This window comes from Homo sapiens, chromosome 1 (assembly GCF_000001405.40).
Source record: "Homo sapiens chromosome 1, GRCh38.p14 Primary Assembly".
NCBI lineage: Eukaryota > Metazoa > Chordata > Mammalia > Primates > Hominidae > Homo > Homo sapiens.
In genome coordinates, this window is record NC_000001.11 from 241,081,755 (window position 1) to 241,100,608 (window position 18,854).

At 39.4% G+C, this 18,854-nt stretch overlaps 1 protein-coding gene across 22 annotated transcripts in view, besides 1 other annotated feature; it reads right to left on the bottom strand.

Moving 5' to 3' along the window:
* RGS7 (regulator of G protein signaling 7) overlaps positions 1-18,854 on the bottom strand; it is a 582,489-nt gene that overhangs the window by 307,013 nt on the left and 256,622 nt on the right. For all 22 annotated transcript variants that reach the window (NM_001374806.1, NM_001374811.1, NM_001374814.1 and 19 more), the window contains one exon: positions 16,912-17,008. In NM_001374806.1, coding sequence (NP_001361735.1) covers positions 16,912-17,008 — 97 coding nt within the window. The remainder of the gene's footprint in view (positions 1-16,911; positions 17,009-18,854) is intronic.
* Positions 7,428-7,599: a silencer, noted in NCBI's record as "fragment chr1:241252482-241252653 (GRCh37/hg19 assembly coordinates)". NCBI's record gives its function as "represses an EF-1alpha promoter that drives an FKBP-Casp9 reporter gene in an ReSE screen in phorbol 12-myristate 13-acetate-treated (for megakaryocytic differentiation) K562 erythroleukemia cells {active_cell/tissue: K562(+PMA)}" and the evidence as "EXISTENCE:reporter gene assay evidence [ECO:0000049][PMID:32094911]".

An 18,854-nucleotide genomic window follows, 5' to 3' on the forward strand; every position in this document is an offset into this window, starting at 1 on the left:
ATATGTTGCAGAAAAATGTGCATTTTGGTCCATCATTAATGATTTACTGTTGAGTACAGTTTACAATCTTAAGTAAAATAATTCATCTCCAGAGATTTATTTACTGCTTTTGGCCACACAGCAATAAAATGATTTGGTTGTACTGAGAAGAATTTCCCTTTACCAAGGCCATCACAGGGAGAAGGTATGGTGTTCCAGGTAAAGGATAGCATAATAGAACCATTTCAGTCAATCAACACAGTTGGTAGTCAGAGAGAAGGCTTCTTTGTAGATGTTGATAGACATATTTATGTATTTGGAAAGAATTTTCCCTTTATGGAATAGAGTTATTCAGAAGACAAAGGGTCCAGCTAAGTTTGGGAATAAGTCGATACACCTGAGTTACTTGCACAGAAATATCTCAAAGGAATTATTGTAATTATGTAATTATTGTAATTCCCTTGAGATATTGTAAGTCAATGGAAGCTGTGAAGGTTTTATTTTCCCAATCCAAAATCACCTCCAGTCCCAATAATATTCACTCCAAATATAAAATGGCAAATTCACATGTTCAGAAGGCACTACACAGAAGCAGCACCACAAGCGACAGCTATCTAGGAAAAGAAAACAGTCCCTGAGACTAGAATATATGGCTACAAAGAAAACCAAAGCTAAAATCAAAGCATTTAGATATTGCCAATTTTGTACTGTTCCTTCGAACATTCTGGTGAAAATAAGTCAGAGCTTGTCTTTCATCTTGGTCGTATCAGATGGATCCAACCACATTTAAAAACAAATCATTTCTCTAATTACTGTGATGGTTACTAGAGGCTGGGAAGGGTGAGGGGTGATAAAGCGAAGTTGGTTAACAGGTACAAAAATACAGTCTGATAGAAGGAGTAAGTTCTAGTATTCAATAGTACATTATCGAAATTACAGTTAACAATAATTGTTGTGTATTTCAAAATAGTTAGAAGAGAAGAATTGTAATGTTCCTGACACAAAGAAAAGATAAATATTTAAAGTGATGGATATCCCAATTACCCTGACTTGATCATTACCCACTTTATATATGTATCAATATATCACATGTACTGCCAAAATATGTACAACTATGATATAAGATAAGATAAATTATTTCTCTACAAATACAATGAGAACTTTGTCATTGCCCAGCAGGATTTAGCTATTAGAAAAAGAATTATATTAGGCTGGGTGCAGTGGCTCATGCCTGTAATCCCAGCACTTTGGGAGGCCAAGGCACACGGGTCACTTGAGGTCAGGAGTTCAAGACCAGCCTGGCCAACATGGTGAAACCCTGTCTCTACTAAAAATACAAAAATTAGTCAGGTGTGGTGGTACCTGCTTGTAATCCCAGCTATTTGGGAGGCTGAGGCAGAAGGCTTGCTTGAATCTGGGAGGCAAGAGGTTGTAGTGAGCCAAGATCATGACACTGCACTCCAGCCTGGGCGACAGAGCGAGACTCTGTCTCAAAAAAAAAAAAAAAAGAAAAAGAAAAAGAAACAAAACAAAACAAAACAAAACAAAACAAGACAAAAAAAAAGAAAAGAAAAGAAAGTTTTATGTCAGAGCCCAAGTGGTTGAGATTAACATTCTTTACTATTTCTAACCACTTCAAGGTGCTAATTTACAATAAGGAAAGAGTAACAACCATTAGGGGAATATAGACTCTTTCATAGCAAGGTTAATTGAAGTGTCCATTTGACTATGTGACATCTCACTTTCCCCTCTTGTTCCGCAGCTCGATTGGCTATGTAGTTATTATGTGCAAGTTGCATAGTTACTCAGTTCTGTCAGAGAGGATGTGTGAAGAAGATGAAAAAGAAAGGACTAGCTTTTTGCAAATTGGTCATGTCTCTTGCGGATCTAGTTAACATTTCCTGTTTTCTGCAAGAATTAATTTTTTTCCTAATGAACTTTAAGAACTACCAATATTTTTAGTATACTCTTTCTTTCTTATTTATTTGTACATTATCTGTTTGTATCCTTGAATTTTCTCTGGGATGTTATAAAAGAAAAATATTACAAGCATAATTTCTGACACAATGTTTTATAACTGTTTTCAAAAGCAATCTATTTCTCTCTTAATTTCTATAGAACCCATTTTAGTCATTCCTATGATGAATGAAAAAAAACTCACAATTAGTTGTCAGTTTCAGAAAGGAGTCTCAGAAGCATCTTAGAACCACCTAGGCGGTCTTATAGGCGTCACAGAAAAATATTCCACCTTACTTATTCTTATCTTCTTCAAACTGACTCCAAATATAATAAGCAGGCTTAAGTTATATAAGGTTCCTTAAAAGTTGTTCTCAAAAACAATTAAATGCAGACTGTCCTCAGTAAAACTTGCATTGGCCCAGTCCATTTTACCAAGTTTGCTCCTTCTTACATGTACGACTGCCCCTGTGACAAGTTTAAGCCTACGTTAATTAATCATCTTTCCATAACACTGAGACATATTCATCCAACCCTGAGAGGGATAAGGGGTAACAGGCAAGATATATTCAAATTGTGACATTTAAGGTCAACTTGACTTTAAAACTCATATACTGCTCAGTTTTCATATACGTGGCTGAAAACAAGTCATCACAGAGAACTGGTCACACTGTTAGAGGACCAAAATAGTAAAATATGAACAATTCTTCCATATTTAATGATATTAAATATAACAGGTCCTATGTCTATGCAATTGAAGTCAACATGTCACTAATTAGGGCTTCCTTTGTTATCAAACTTGCTGAGAAGATAGAACAGTGAGGAAAAAATAGCAGGAATTGAGCTGTACAGAATTAAAGACATTCTTATGAACCTTAAGACTTAAGGTCAGTCACACTCATATGACATTTGGACTATTAGACAACTCTTCTGACCTCAAATTTTGCTCTTACCAGTTGGTGATAATCCTTTGGTAAGAGAGCATGTTAAAAGTAACCAAATCAGATAAGGACTAGAAGTCAAATTTCAACAGAAGAGGGCAATGAGACTCCGTGCCTTAATTATCAACATTTTTATGATGAAGAACCTTCCTAAACTAATGAAAAATACAAGACAGAAACAGATGAAACACAGAAATGGCTGAAAAGAACTCCCTATTAATTTCTGACCATTTTCTTCCCTATTAACAGTGCTTGATGATCTGGAGTGAATACCTGCCTTTTTGGCTCCTGCCAATTAGTTCAGGAAGTTCCATCTTCAAACACATTCAGTGACCTGATTTAATAGGGGCCTTTTTATTTGATCGCCGCCAACAGGCAGTCCTACAGACTTTTATAATCACAGTGGGCTGCTTTACAGGCAAGTCAAATTCCAGTTTAATGAAAACCTACATCATTACAAGGAATTGAGAAGGGAATTCTGGTTTCTTTTCTGCTATGGCTTACACTGGAAGCATAGTAACTTTCCAATGAATCCATGCAGGAGAATGGAATTCATCCAATAGGGAAAGCCTCATTTTTCTCTATGGTAGAATGGTAGAATTAATGAATATCAAGAACACGAGAACATTTTGTAACATCCTGCTGGTTAAGTATGTTTCATTCCTAGCTAGGTTAATATGGATAGGCTGGGGGCAGTGGTGGTGGATATTTCCAGAGATATTACCTGAAGTTTAACAAAACATTGGTTTTAAGCTTGTACATCATGAACTCGGGGACAGCTTCTCTCTCACACTCTATTTATTTATTTATTTTTGAGACAGAGTCTCTCTGTCATCCAGACTGGACTGCAGTGGCGTGATCTTGGCTCACTGCAACCTCCGCCTCCCAGGGTCAAGCAATTCTCCTGACTCAGCCTCCCGGGTAGCTGGGATTATAGGCCCGCACCATCATGCCCGGCTAATTTTTTATATTTTTTTTAGTAGATATGGGGTTTTGCCATGTTGGCCAGGCTAGGCTGGTCTCGAACTCCTGACCTCAGGTGATCTGCCCACCTCGGCCTCCCAAAGTGCTGGGATTACAGGCGTGAGCCACCACACCTGGCCTCCCTCATACTTTCTTATGCACCAATCATGACCCATTTTGAAAGAGGCAGAGTGGTGGAAGGTTTGGACTTCATGTGCTGACTGGTTCTCTTTGTTAAGACTCAAATAAAACCACTGGAGTCCTATCCACTGAATGCTAGATCTCAAGACATAGCACAATGGGATTCCTGGTTACTTACAAGCGGTCTTTATGGTTCCCCAGAACATCTTCCCTTGAGCCTGCTTCCCTTGCTGCTCCAAGTGAACTAAGGCCAGAAACTAACAGCAAGCACACAGGAACTGTGGGCTCTGTGCTCCCCTCGGTGTTTCTGTTCCATAGAGGCCCATCATCTTTAGCGACTTGATTTTCTCATTCCACACACAACTCCAACAGGTATCTCATGTATTCATTGGTTTCAAATATGTGTGTGAATAAATCCCTCTAAATTTCAGACCTGTATATCCAACAGTTTCCAGGGCATCTCATCTGGTTGTTCTACATACGTTGCCTGAAAGTGAATATAGCCAAAACATATCATGCCTTCGTCATTCTCTCCATGAAGAAAGAAAGGAAGAGAGAATCTCTTGTGTTTCCCAATGTGAAAGGCATAGTGGTGCATTCATTGTCAAAGTCATACATATGGGTGACATCACTGTTGGTAGGGCCTTCTCCCTTAACTCACCTGCCCCCCTCACTTCCCGCACCACCACCCCTAATCCTCCCATTGAGTTAGTAATGAAGTCCTTCCTATGTCCTGAAAGTCTCCCGTGCATCCTATTTTTTCTTAAATCTCACTGGCCTGCCTTGGGTCAAGCCTTCATCATCTCTGCTCTAGACTACAGCCACAGTACCCAGCCTTGTCTCCCTTTTCTACCATCTGATGTTTATTCTCTACATTTCCCCCCACCCAGAGGAATATGTTTGGAAAAAAAAAAAGAAAAACAAATACTGCTATTTCCCTGCTCAAAATTTTCAATGGCTCTTTACTCTTTTCAGGATGAAATTTGAACTCCTCCAGATTCTAACTGTTGTCTTCTGCCTTCCTCTCTGGAGTCATCCCTCTGCACTTTCCAAACACCTCATCCTGTGCAAAGGTCACGCGACAATATTTGGAGTTCCCAGAGCTCGCCAGACCCTTTCACACCTTCGAGCTGTTGCACAGGCGCTCCTCTTTTCCCTGGCTAAGTCTGACTCAGGCTTTACAATGAAGCTCTGACATCACCATCTCCAAGAAAAGCCTCTGACCCCAGGAACCTGAGTGAAATTCCACACACTCCTGCAGCCCTCTGGGTTTACCTCTATTGTGGAAATTATCTCACTTTCTTGATTTGTCCTTCTCCTCCCTAGACTGTGATCCCCTCGAGGACAGACAGCATGGCTTAATTCTCTGTATCGCTAGGCCTGACAAAACGCTCACACACAGTAGGCTCCTGAACGATGTTTAATTTATTGTTAACACATAGGATTCCACAGATCCTGAGGTACAGCAGACTTCAGATACCCACTTCAAAGAAAACAAGGGAGTAATGCCTAGGTTCTTGTTCCTATGATTTATACTGTGAATAAAATAATTTCAGAGAAGTTCCTTTATTCACTTGAACAATATTTAAAGGGCAAAAAAAATTAACAAAAGGTCTTTTTAAAAATGCAAATAATTTACATTTGTTGATAAAGCCATACAATCACAAAAGTGACCATATGAATGCAAATATTCCTTCTAAAAAGTATAATTATTATTCACCCATCTAACAAATATTAATGAACCCCTCTGATGTTAGATGCTCTTTATGGTACAGGGGTTAGCAGAGTGGGTACATGGAAGCTTCCTGTAGTTTACACTATCATCTGGAAGGCGATTAATCAAATACTACTTACTGTTCATGAGTTTATAATTATAAAATGGAGGGAAATACTCTGAAAGAGAAGAGTGTGGTTTTATAAAACCATATAAGAGGCTGGGTGCGGTGGCTCAGGCCTGTAACCCCAGCACTTTGGGAGGCCGAGGTGGGCAGATCACTTGAGGTCAGCAGTTTGAGATCAGCCCAGGCAACATGGCAAAAGCCCGTCTCTACTAAAACTACAAAAATTAGCTGGGCGTGGCAGTGCATGCCTGTAATCCCAGCTACTCGGGAGGCTGAGGCAGGAGAATCGCTTGAACCCAGAAGGCAGAAGTTGCAGTGAGCTGAGATCATGCAACTGCACTCCAGCCTGAGCCACAGAGCAAGACTCCATCTCTCTCTCTCTCTCTCTCTCTCTCTCTCTCTATATATATATATATATATACACACACACACATATATATATACACACACACATATATATATACACACATATATATATATACACACACACACATATATATATATACATATATATATAGAAACTGGCTTAGACCTAAGGTGAGTGGGTCTCAACTGGGCATAGGGGAAAAGGAGGGAAAGCATTTTAGATGGAGGAAAAAACAGGGCAGGGATAAATCTTCAAGACCAGAGTGGCCATGGAAAAGTCACCTCTATAACTAGAATCAAGAGAGTGAGAGAGGAAGTGATACCAGATGAGGTCTGAGAGGCAGGGAGGGACTGATCCAGGATGCTGCTTAAGGGTGAAGAGGATCAGAACACGCCACCAAAAAACATACCATTTTGGCATACTGATTATTCTGAGGTAAAGGCAATTGAGAAACAGAAAATGCATGAAGGGCTCTCCACCTTTCCCTTTTCTGCCTAAAAGCAGGACATAGGTAAACGTACCCTTGCCAAACCCCAAAAACCAGAGACTAAAATGAAACACAGTCAGAGCCCAGAAATCATATTTTAACCATGAACACCCCAACAATTACCCCCTGATTGACGTAATTTTCCTAAAAATCTTAAGCCCCTCCAACTAAATTAATCCTCCATTTTGTATAACAAATATAAAAACTAAACTTCCACCGTAATACTAATACCTTCAGCATATCCCTCTGAAAATGTGTATGTTTCTCCTGTTAATCTGTCTTTTGTTATCTTAATTAGTAAGAACCATAAACAGACCATAAGAGAGAACAGGAGCACTTTGGGAGGAAGAGGTGGGCAGATCACGAGGTCAGGAGATCGAGACCATCCTGGCTAACACAGTGAAACCCCGTCTCTACTAAAAATACAAAAAATTAGCCGGGCGTGGTGGCAGGTGCCTGTAGTCCCAGCTACTCGGGAGGCTGAGGCAGGAGAATCGCTTGAACCTGGCAGGCGGAAGTTGCAGTGAGTTGAGATGGCGCGAGTTGAGACTGCGCGACTGCACTCCAGCCTGGGCCACAGAGCAAGACTCCATCTCTCTCTCTCTCTCTCTCTCTCTCTCTCTCTCTCTCTCTCTATATATATATATATATATATATATATATATATACTGGCTTAGACCTAAGGTGAGTGGGTCTCAACTGGGCATAGGGGAAAAGGAGGGAAAGCATTTTAGATGGAGGAAAAAGCAGAGCAGGGATAAGTCTCCATGACCAGAGTTGCCATGGAAAAGTGACCTCTATAGCTAGAATCAAGAGAGCAAGAGAGGAAGTGATACCAGATGAGGTCTGAGAGGCAGGGAGGGACTGATCCAGGATGCTGCTTAAGGGTGAAGAGGATCAGCACACCACCAAAAAACATACCATTTTGGCATATTGATTATTCTGAGGTAAAGGCAATTGAGAAACAGAAAGTGCATGAAGGGCTCTCCACCTTTCCCTTTTCTGCCTAAAAGCAGGACATAGGTAAACGTACCCTTGCCAAACCCCAAAAACCAGAGACTAAAATGAAATACAGTCAGAGCCCAGAAATCATATTTTAACCATGAACACCCCAACAGTTACCCCTCGATTGATGTAATTTTCCTAAAAATCTAAGACCCTCCAACTAATCCTCCATTTTTGTATAACAAATATAATAACTAAACTTCCACCCTAATACTAATACCTTCAGCATATCCCTCTGAAAATGTGTATGTTTCTCCTGTTAATCTGTCTTTTGTTATCGTAATTAGTAAGAACCATAAACAGACCATAAGAGAGAACAGGAGCACTTTGGGAGGAAGAGGTGGGCAGATCACGAGGTCAGGAGATCGAGACCATCCCGGCTAACACGGTGAAACCCCGTCTCTACTAAAAATACAAAAAAATTAGCCGGGCGCCTGTAGTCCCAGCTACTCGGGAGGCTGAGGCAGGAGAATGGCGTGAACCTGGGAGGTGGAGCTTGAAGTGAGCCGAGATCGCGCCACTGCACTCCAGCCTGGGCGGCAGAGTGAGACTCCATCTCAAAAAAAAAAAAAAAAAAAGAGAGAGAGAACAGGAAAACTTTTTTTCTTCCATAGGGATCTTGTTTGGAATTTCGGTCTTAATCCTAAAATCAAAGATGGATTTTAATTGGACAGGTTTGCAATTTGAAAATAGTAGTGTGGCTGCCCTTTGGAGAAAGGCAGGATGAGGTGCAGGTGCATGTGGAGACTAGTTAGGAATCAATGAGATAGTTCAGGTAAGCGGAGATAAGATTTTGCAGTAGAGAAATACAAGCATACATGGTCCAAGCTAAGCTGACAGCACTTGTGGATGCAACAGATATGAGAAGAGGGGGATAAGAAGAGTCAAGGCGACCCCGGCATTTCTGGCATGTGCAATTTTTACTGAGGCAGAAACCAGGGAAGGGGCTGAGGGTAAGACAATGACTCTCATCTTGGACATGTGCAGTTTGAGACTTCTTTGACATACCCAAGCGAAAATACTGTATACACAGTTGAATTTACTGGAGTTCAGAGAAAAGGTCTGAATTAGAAACATACATTTAGAAATATTTAATTTAAGCCATGAGACGGATGGCATTGCCTTGAGAAAAAAAAAGTAGAGTGAGATTTCCATTGATGTGTTGCTATTTCAATTACCTTGTAAATAGTCTAGTTTATTATTATCTTATCCTATTAATTGTTCTTCCACTCTTTCTCCTTCACTGGGTTCTCTGAATTATAGAATTTATGCAGAAAACAAACTTGGAGATCATCAGATATAATCTCCAAATTTTACAGGTGAAAAAACTATAGTGGGTTACTCAGGATCACACTGCTCCTTAGAGGTAAAAATGAAGACAAAAGCTCAGGTGTTTTTGATGAGTACTCCACAGGACTACATCTGGAACAGGAGCATGTTGGGAGATGAATGTAAGAGTCCCAGGTACCCAGAATCCTACCAATTCTGACATGCGTGTGCTTGTCATAATGAAACAACACAGGACATCATGTGAAGGACAACTAACGTGGGGTTACCCATGAGGTGGTGAGAAACAGAATGGGATTTTGCCTCAAACCCACTGTGGTTTACACATTAGTAAACTGTTCAAAATGGGGCCAAAAGCTTGAACTCTCTGACCCTCTATTTCCTTCTCTAGGAAATGGAGAAAAGCAATCATTACCTTGAAGTGTTGAAAGGAATAAAACGAATGTATTTAAAGCCACTAACCACATAGAAGGTTTCCAAATTACTAACTAATATTTTCCTCCAAAGTAAAGAAAAAAAACAGATGTCATCAAAATAATAAAGCTGGCCGGGCACTGTGGCTCACGCCTGTAATCTTAACACTTTGGGAGGCCGAGGCAGGTGGATCACGAGGTAGGGAGATCGAGACCATCTTGGCTAACACGGTGAAACCCCGTCTCTATTAAAAATACAAAAAATTAGCCAAATGTGGTGGCAGGCACCTGTAGTCCCAGCTACTCGGGAGGCTGAGGCAGGAGAATGGCGTGAACCCAGGAGGCGGAGCTTGCAGTGAGCTGAGATCACGCCACTGCACTCCAGCCTGGGCGACAGAGCGAGACTCTGTCTCAATAAATAAATAAATAAATAAATAAATAAATAAATAAATAAATAAATAAAAAAGCTGGCCGGATGCAATGGCTCGCATCTGTAATCTTAACACTTTGGGAGGAAGAGACATGAGGATCTCTTGAGTCCAGGAGTTTGAGACTAGCCTGGGTAATGCAGTGAGACCCTATCACTACAAAAAGTTTAAAAAATTAGCCAGATGTGTTGGTGCATGCCTGTAGTCCCAGCTACTTGGGAGGCTAAGGCAGGAAGATTGCTTGAGCCCAGGAATTTGAGGCTGGAGTGAGCCATGACTGTGCCACTGTGCTCCAGCCTGAATGACAGAATGAGACTCTGCCTCAAACAAACAAACCAAAAAACCAACTTTATTATTTAAAAAAATCTCAAGGGCTCATTGAAATTATTTGGAAACATTAAAATATTTTTTAAAATATTAAAAAAGCAATTATTCCGGTCATCAGGGTTTAAAGCCTATTTATTATATAATGCACCTAAAATTTATAAAGCACCCATGATTATGAATCAAAACATCTATATCCAAATAGTATTTGATATTATTATACTGTAATGTATTTTCTAGAATACAGCACACAAGAAACCACGTGCTATTTCAATATCTTGTTAAGCAAGTGAAAACCTATGTTGTCAGTTTTAATTCACTCAAATATGCCTGTAGCCAAGGTAAATGGTATAGTTTAAAATAGTACCACAAATGAAGCAACTATCTTACAAATTTAAAATTAATCATTTCCTCTTTTATTCATAAACTTTTATGCTTCATCTGGATTTGGATCTCTATTCTTCTAAAATTTAGAGTTTTAAGTACAAAGGATTTTTTAGCTGGTATGAGTGTTATAGTTTGCTTTACCAAAGATTTTCAGATGAGAGAATGAATAAACATTGTAAGTTACAGGATATGAATTCCAGGGAAAGAGCTATCATGCAAGAATAAGACTTATGGATTTCATTTACAGAAAATCTTCAGCAAAATCTACAAATATATTTTTAGCTATATAGTTATTTTTTCAATTTGAAGACATAATGGTGTTAACAGTGACTGAGCACTTTTATGAAACTCTCATGGAATAATATTTGAACTTCATCTTTTTCTATTGTGGTAGAGCACTTGTTCAAAGCCAAGATGTATATCCCCACTTGTATGGGGCAGATTCCGGGCAAAACCACTCCTTACCACAAAGCAGACACTTCTCAGATGCCTCTTCAGGATTTATTCCTTACCTGCCTTCAAAATATGATTTGAAGCAATTTACAATATAGCCCCCAACAAACTTAAAAGAACAACAATAAAAGATAGAAAAAAAAAACAATTAGAAGACAAAGAAAGGCAGATATGTCAGGGATGAATCACATGAGAAAAAGAAAGAATGGAACATTAAATTTAGCAGTGAACTTCTTGGCAACTACAGAAAAAAGGAAAAGGAAAATACAAATTATACATTATTGTTTTTAAAAAGGAAAAAGTAAAGTTTATCTTCAAAGACACAATTTTTTAGTAGTTTATTATAAAATACATTTATTTTATTGTTTTTTTCATTAGAAACTTAGAGAACATGAAGGAAATGTCTTTTAGTACAATTTCGCAGAAATCACAAAATAAGATACAAATAATCATCTATCTGCCTGCTCTAAAGGCTTTGATACTATTATACTCAAACTTCTTAAAGGTTTTTTTTTGTAGTTAAGGACAGACAATTCAAGTTCTTTGTTGAAGATGAGATTACAAAGTTATAGCCTTTAAACAGTTCTGTTCCTACACCTGACTTTTTAAACCTCTGCTAAAGGAACTTACCTTGGTTCCTCGTACAAGTTAGTTACACGTTTATTGCTAATGTATATGTAATCTATTTCCCCAGCAACGGTAAAATACTAGCCCACAAAACCCAGTATAGTTACTGGAACATAGTGAGTATTTGATCAATGTTCATTGCATTGAATTAAAAATATAAAGAAAAACGTAGTTAGCATGCATCTAAGACCAGCAGACACCAATCCCATATTTTTAAAATCAGCTTAAAAATACATATTTCTATAACCTGAGCTTAATATTTAATCTAGGGGAAAAAATAAATAAAATAAAGTAAAATAAAAACAAAAATTATAGATTCCCTGGTTCCATCTCAGCACTAATGAATTAGAATATCTGTGGTTTGCATTTGAAATCTGCATTCCTAAGACCTTCTCCAGAGAATTTATTGCAGCCATACTCCAGAGTGGCATTTCATCAATCCCAAATATTCTCCTTTTATAACATTTTTCATGTACACTCCTTTTTTTTTTGCAACCATAAATACTTTGTGTCCAATACATGTGCTATGGGGGATGACTCCTAGGTATAATTAGAAGAAATATTGAGATGGGAAAAGTTTAAGCTAGAAAAGGGAAGTCGAAGTCGAAAACATAGTGAAACAAAAGGTAGATGTTTTACTGTGGAGGATTGAAGGAGATGAAGAAACCAGAAGGAAGTTTGTGCAGACTGCTGGACTGTGCCTGAGGACTGGGGCAAGAGCTGCAAAGCTACCAGTAACCCAGTACTCTCTGCCTTATCTTCTCTGCTTCTCCTTCCTTACATGCTTCACTGTTCTCAACTGCAGACAGGCTTCCTTTGCTGCTCTCTGCACAGGGGCATTACCCAGCCCCTAGGTTACATTGCCTCAGTGCCAGACATACATAAACACACACACACACACACACACACACACACACACACACAGAGTCACACACACACTTCACCAAAGTTCTGGGAATCTCAACAGAAGCCCAGGGGAGAGAGCTGTTAGTCAAATTCTATAATGTACATACACCACTGATCTCATTCCCTGGCCCTGAGACACCAGGTCACATACAACCTGTGCAGCTGCCTGAGCTATCTCTGCAGCTGAGAAGGCACTTCTGGAGAAGAAGGTAATGCTGTGACTGGATGCACTCAAGGACATTTCTCATCTCAGAGTTCAAGGAAATGGCATAGAGGAATTATCCAAAGATACTGTCCTATGGTCTTGGGACTATGGAAACCAGGAGGTTGAAATCAACAACTCTAAAACCAAAACAAAAACAAAAACAAAAACAAAGAAAAGTCTTAGATGTTTCACTGGACAAAATGCATTTAGCAGGAAAAACAAAAACAAAACACAAACCCTATTATTAGGTAGATTATATTTGTCATTGCATTCTTTGACATGATCTGGGTCTGGATTGCAGATGTTGCAGGGGGAATTGGATTATAGCATCACTTTCTCAACACAGCTGTTTTCACTTGAGGTGGATATGGGCATTACTTGGCCACCATGACCTATGTTTTCCTTTGAAGCATGGGAGTTGTCTGGTGGAGTTGGGTAGTGTTCATTCTCCCACAAAGCTGTTGACAGCTATCAATCTTAGGGGCAACAGAGACTCTCAGCTTGGGAGTAAAGGAAGGAGAAAGAACTAGATTATTCTTCCTAACTGCTTTTTCCTTCCCCAAGTAAAATTTTTTTTAAAAAGTCATTAGATAGGCTGGGGTGGCCTTGATTGAGGCCAGACTGCAGAGATGATTAGAGCCCTTCAAAGAAAAAGATTGGCACAAGCAAGGTGGCCACTGATCCCAGAGCTCTCAATAAAACAAGCATGCTCCCCGGAGCTGCCCAGCTTCTCTGGGTGCATTTTAAGGCAATATGTCTTAAACTTTAGTGCACAAATTGAGGTTCTAATTTAGTACATCTGGGGGTGGGTCCAGATACTATATTTTCTTTTAAAATTAACAAATAATAATTGTACATATTCATGGGATACATAGTGATGTTTTGATACAAATAATATATGATGGCTGGGCTCATTCCTATAATCCCAGCACTTTGGGAGGCCAAGGCAGGAAGATCACTGGAGCCCAGGAATTTGAGACTAGCCTAGGCAACATGGTGAGATCTTGTCTCTACCAAAACAAACAAACAAAAAATTAAAAATCAACCAGGCATGGTGGCAGGTGCCTGTGGTCCCAGCTACTTGGGATGCTGAGGCAGGAGGATTGCTTGAGCTCAGGAGGGTGAGGCTGCCATGTTTGCACCACTGCACTCCAGCCTGGGTGACAGAGCAAGACTGTATCAAAAAACAAAACAAAACAAGAAACAAATAATGTATGGTGATAAATAATGAAAAGTGAGAAATGATAAACATTTATCCTTTTTGAGTAATTAACATATCCATTATCTTAAATATTTATCATTTCTTTCTGTCAGGACGGCTCAATGTCCTCCTAGCTATTTGAAGCTACACAACATATTATTGTTAACTATAGTCATTCTACGGTGGCATAGAACACTGGAACTATGTGGCTGTAATTTCGCATTCTTTAACACATCTCTCCCTGTAAGTTTCCAAGTGATTCTGATACTAATGGTCCATGGAAGTAATGAGGCTTTAAGGAGCACAAATTGGTAACTTGAGAAAGTTAGATTTACAACATTTGCGATCCTTCCTTCCGTGTGGAACAGTCCATAGCAAAGATTGACTCCAGTCTGCAACAACTGCACTACCCTCCTTTCACATATGGCAGGACTTCATCACAATGGTTTCTGGTTCTACTAAGGGCAATAAAGTCAGCGGATTCCTTGTTTCATTAGAAGCTCTGCAGTAGACCATGAAACATGCTCAGGGAGAGAAGGGGGAAGCTGAAAGAGCTGGGAAAGCCAGCAGTCCGTTGCGAGTTGGGCCACAAAAGAATAGAGGAATTAACAATCCCCACAGATTATAAGAAAAATCTGGGGAGGGATACTAACTAGAAAAGACTGAAAACTTCTAGTAAAGTGAATGGAGCTTGAGAACATTATAATTTGGGAATATTAATATAAAGAAGCTGATAAGTGCTAGACATAATACTAGATATACCAACTAAATCCACGACAAAGCATCTAATTGAACCTACGAGGCAGAGCACGCCTGCAAAGTTTCCAGGGAATATAAAATGATTACTTGGACCTAATTACATTAACGTGAAAAATGTCATTGATATTCTCTTTATTGAATAGCTACCACTGTTATTTTACAGCAGTGAACATTAAAACAATTATTAGAGATTCCCAGGTTAATTCTCAATCTATATGTCCAATCTTATTTTTCAATTAAAATCTTAATGTTGTCAACCAAGAATTCTTCCAACAGCTTGCTGTTGAGATATTTGCTATCTGAAGAACTCAATCAAAAATTTTAGACTCCACTAGAGTGGGTATCACAAAATTGCAGCCAAACTTAATCAGATGAGCAAAGTTTTTTGTTTAGCCTATGTATTTTCATAATTCCTGAATTAGAATGCCTCTAAGCAGGCCATACACAGTGGAACTGACCAGTTCCCAGTGCAGGATGGCAACGTAGTGCATTTATCTGCCTGAATTCTAAAGGAGATAAGTTCACCCCTTTCATTAGCTCATCAATATATATATGAGTAACATTTTTATATGCGTGTTTAGATGTGGAGTTAACTCTGAATCCTTGACCAAATGGAGCTTAAGGTTTAGCTAGGGACATGTGCAAAATAACTCTAAGACAAAGTGGAGCGTACAAGAGATGCAAAAACCAAGGCCTTTGAGAGCACAGAGGCAAAAGCTTCAGGAGAGTTTTCACCAATGAGCTCTCTGAACTGACTACTGAAGAATGGATGGAATTTAACAAGCAGAATGGCCTGTAAGTGGGACGGTGAGGAGAGGAGAAATGGAGTGAAGCCACAGATGTAAAAAGTGCAAGGCATCATTGAGAAAAAGCAAGAAACTAGAACGAAGTGGGCATAAGAGGGAGTAACAGGGAAAAAAGAAGACACATTTTGTTAGAGCAAAATGTCATTCCACAGTAGCTCTCCTCAGCTCCAAGCTCCCTCTCTTCTCTCTGACAGCAACACAGGTATCAAACCCCGACACGGAGGCCGCTTCCCTATTATTCCTGTCCTGATCTCTACCCTCTTCCTAGGCTTGACAGCTTCCTGATCATGAATATTCTCTTGATCCTGGTCATGAGGAAGCAGCCTGCAACCCCTGTACAGGAATCCCATGAAGCACCCTTCCCAGCCACACTCAGCATCAGCCGCCTTCTTCTCCCTCCTCGCTGCTGAGGCTTCGGGCTGTCTGATCTCACCTCTTTCCTAAGCTGTGCCAGGCCATGCCCCAGCACATCCCAGGCCCCAAAACTGGCACTTTCACTGCCCCCTGGAGTCAGAGCACAGAGGCTTATCTTATTACTCTTCCTTGTGTCTTGGGTTTCTCCAGTCATTGCCAATCAAACCCGCGGGGGTTCCTCATTTTGGATAATGATTCTTTCCTCTCTCAGTCTCCTCATTTTAAAATAAAACACCAACAACAAAAAAATGAAATCCATTGGGCTATGTCTTTTATTCTGCATGCCTAGTTATTCACTAAACCCTCACGCTCTTTCCTCTCTATTCCTTCAGCCCTTGGATATCAGGACCTGGGCACCCAAACCTGTTCCTGCAACAGCCTTACCCTTGTCACAGTGCTATTGCCCTTACTGAATGCCAATTTATCCCGAGCACTTTCATCACAATATCCTCTGCCAAACATTTTAAATGTCTCCATATTTCCCCTTTTATCAGAATTAGATTCTTTGGCTAGCTTTCACAGACCCTCATAACCTGACCCAAGTTCTCTACAGTTTGGTCACTGTCGAGTTCGGTGAGCACAGTTGGTGGTGACAGCGGTCTTGAGCGAGTATGGCTCTTCCTCATCTTTCAAACAGCTCACCACTGCTCTGCAGAAACCCTTTCCTTACTCCCCATCAGTCAGGAAAAAGAAATCACTGATTTTTTTCACCCTCCTAATTTCCATATACAACCTTCATAACATTGTTTTTTATACGTCTTTATTTATTTTAATATTGTTTTACTTCGCATTTGTTCATTCGGTCTTTACAAACTAACCTAGAGCAGGGTCATGATTTTTGGCGTTTTGTTTTACTATCATTTCAAGTGTTTCACATGATAAATATACCACAGGCATTTTATAAGTAGTTACTGAATAATGGATTAGAGACAGAGTTTCAATAGTGAACAGCTGGAATCAGTTTTAAAGAGTTATCTAAGAGGTACAGGAGAAAACAGAACTGTGCTCCATGCAGACTTACCAGAGAAGACGCTAGGTATCTTGGAAAGAAAGCTTTTGACCGTACGAATAGGAATTCCATTTTTTTCATCTTGCATCCGTGCTATGACGTCTTCCATCTAAACAATAATAACATAATTAAAACCTTTATAAAGTTGAACTTTTTTGAAAAAAAATCAGCTCTCATAACAATTTTGTATTCCTGTTTTGCCCAACTAAGAACAATGCCGTATTCTTGCCTTTCTAGTTTTTGCCACATTAATAGTTTAAATACTGTTAAAAAGAGATGGAGGAAACAGCAAGAAAAACAGCCATGTTAGGGCCCATTAAGCTACCAATAGGAATTTTGTGCTTTGAATATTGCCTTTCTCCTGATTTCATGTACCTTGGTTATAAAGGTTAAGATCAAAGAGTGTTTATTTCACAAGGTTTTAGAAACCATTGTCATAGCACATTCATGCTTCATTAATGTTACCTCTACTGAAATCAGTGCAAAAGCAAGTAGAGCCTTAAAAGCATCTGCTTGAATTGCTTCTTCAAGCAAGAGAATTTCCGTGATTTTGTTTTACAATAAAGTTCTAAAACCTGCCTAGAAATCCAGGACTGATTGCCAACTACTATTACATCTCTTGCCCGGGTACTTACTGAAGTGTGTTATGAAACAAATACACACACATACACACTCTCATGCACATACACTCATGCATGTGCACATACACTCCACACATGCACATGTACACACACACATATATGCACACAAGTACACATACACGTGCATGTACACACACATGCACACACACACATATGTATACAATAAAATGAATGTAACACCACAGCCTTCTGTCCGTTTACTAGATTCCCCTTTATCTTTGTTTCAATCTCATTAGTACACTCTCTTTTACTTTTACAAATTGCTGGTAATTCTAAAGGGCTGTGCTTCACAAAGTCAATGTGGAATTTAGTTTTGAAGAACATTCATTCATTCAAATCATAGCCACAGACATTACTCATGTGCTTCTAAACCTGGGAGATGCAGAGACACACAAACATACCCAAGTGGTAGTATGGGACTTAAAATCCATTCATCCATTTACTCATTCCACAACCACTTATCACTAACTCTACACCAGACATATGACTGGGCACCGTGGATATGAAAATGCATACAATACAGTTCCTACCCTCAAAAAATTCAGTCAATAGTGACAACCAAGGTGAAATCTGAGTAAAGTATGTAGTTTAGCTAATAGTGTTGTACTAATGTTAATTTCTTGTTTTGATAATTATGCCATGGTTATGTAAGATATTAACATTAAGGGAAGCTGAGTAAAGAGTGTATGGGAATTCTGTTATCTTTTCTTTTTATCTATAAGCCTAAAATTATTTCAAAGTAAACAGTTAAAAAAAACACAGTCTAAACTTTATATTAATGAATTATCAAATTTCCATTGGCCGGGCGCGGTGGCTCACACCTGTAATCCCAGCACTTTGGGAGGCCGAGGCGGGCGGATCATGAGGTCAGGAGATCGAGACCATCCTGGCTAACACGGTGAAACCCCATCTCTACTAAAAATACAAAAAATTAGCCGGGCGCGGTGGCAGGCGCCTGTAGTCCCAGGTACTCGGGAGGCTGAGGCAGGAGAATGGAGTGAACCCAGGAGGCAGAGCTTGCAGTGAGCCGAGATGGCGCCACTGCACTCCAGCCTGGGCAAAAGAGCAAGACTCCATTTCAAAAAAAAAAAAAAAAAAAAAAATTTCCATCAACATAGCTTTAGAATGGTTTTCAGCTAAGAAATCTAATGTTCTTGGTATCAACGGATGTATTACTATGTTGTAATCACACTATGAACAGATGTATTACTATGACAAATAACTGGAGATGTGGAAAGAATGGGTTTTAATGAAACACAGGTTTGTATTTGACTCTTAGCTCTTGTAATTATTATCTATGTTCTTTGAGTAAGT